The sequence below is a fragment of the Homo sapiens genome, chromosome 9 (genome assembly GCF_000001405.40).
Source record: "Homo sapiens chromosome 9, GRCh38.p14 Primary Assembly".
NCBI lineage: Eukaryota > Metazoa > Chordata > Mammalia > Primates > Hominidae > Homo > Homo sapiens.
The window spans coordinates 40,830,827-40,832,124 of record NC_000009.12 but is presented as its reverse complement, the minus strand read 5'-3'; the positions used below and the strand labels follow the sequence as shown (position 1 = coordinate 40,832,124).

General features: G+C 37.8%; 1 annotated feature.

Moving 5' to 3' along the window:
• Window positions 328–829: an enhancer, noted in NCBI's record as "NANOG hESC enhancer chr9:66784324-66784825 (GRCh37/hg19 assembly coordinates)". NCBI's record gives its function as "activates a minimal SCP1, AML or CMV promoter by ChIP-STARR-seq in primed H9 embryonic stem cells {active_cell/tissue: H9 hESC(primed)}" and the evidence as "EXISTENCE:reporter gene assay evidence [ECO:0000049][PMID:30033119]".

Here is a 1,298-nt window from a genome sequence, read left to right as displayed (position 1 = left end):
ATGTGAAGATATTTCCTTTTCCACCATAGGCCTCAAAGCGCACCAAATGTCCACTTTTATATTCCACAAAAACAGTGTTTAACACCTTCTCCAGCAAAAGAAAGTTTCAACTCTGTGAGTTGAATGCACACATCACAAAGAAGTTTCTGAAATGCTTCTGTCTAGTTTTTATGTGAAGATATTCCCGTTTCTAACGAAGGCCTCAAAGCGGTCCAAATATCCACTTGCAGAATCTACGAAAAGTGTGTTTAAAAAATGCTCTATGAAAAGGAAGGTACACCTCTGTGAGTTGAATGCACACATCTCAAAGACGTTTCTGAGAATGCTTCTGTCTAGTTTTTATGTGATGACATTTCCTTTCCCACCGTAGGCCTCAAATTTCTTCAAACGTCCACTTCCAGATTCTACAAAATGAGTGTTTCAAACGTGCTTTATCTAAAGGAAGGTTGAACTCTGTGAGTTGAATGCACACATCACAAATTAGTTTCTGAGAATGCTTCTGTCTAGTGTTTAAGTGAAAATACTCTCGTTTCCAACGAAGGCCTCAAAGCGGTCCAAATATCCACATGCAGATTCTATGAAAAAAGTGTTTCAAACCTGCTCTATCAAAAGAAAGGTTCTACTCTCTGAGCTGAATGCACACAGCACAAAGAAGTTTCTGAGAAAGCTTCTGTCTAGTGATTATGTGAAGATATTCCCATTTCCAATGAAGGCCTCAAAGTGGTCCAAATATCCACTTGCAGATTCCACAAAAAGAGTGTTTCAAACCTCCTCTATCAAAAGCAAGGTTCAATTCTGTGAGTTGAAAGCACACATCACCAAGAAGTTTCTGAGAATGCTTCTCTGTAGCTTTTATGTGAAGATATTTCCTTTTTGACCATAGGCCTCAAAGCTCTCCAAATATCCAATTGCAGATTTTACAAAAAGAGTTTGTCAAAACTGCTCCATCAAAAGCAACGTTCAACTCTGTGAGTTGAATGCACACATCACAAAGAACTTTCTGAGAATGCTTCTGTCTAGTGTTTATGTGAAGATATTCCCGTTTCCAATGTTGGTCTCAAAACACTCCAAATATCCTCTTGCAAATTCTAGTAAAAGAGTCTTTCAAAACTGTTCTATTATAAGGTATGTTCAACTCTGTGAGTTGAATGCAAAGATCACGAACAAGTCTCTGAGAATGCTTCTGTCTAGTTTTTATTTGATGATATTTCCTTTTCCACGGTAGGCCACAAAGCTCTCCAAATATCCACTTGCAAATTCTACAAAAAGAGTGTTTCAAACCTGGTCTATCAAAAGAA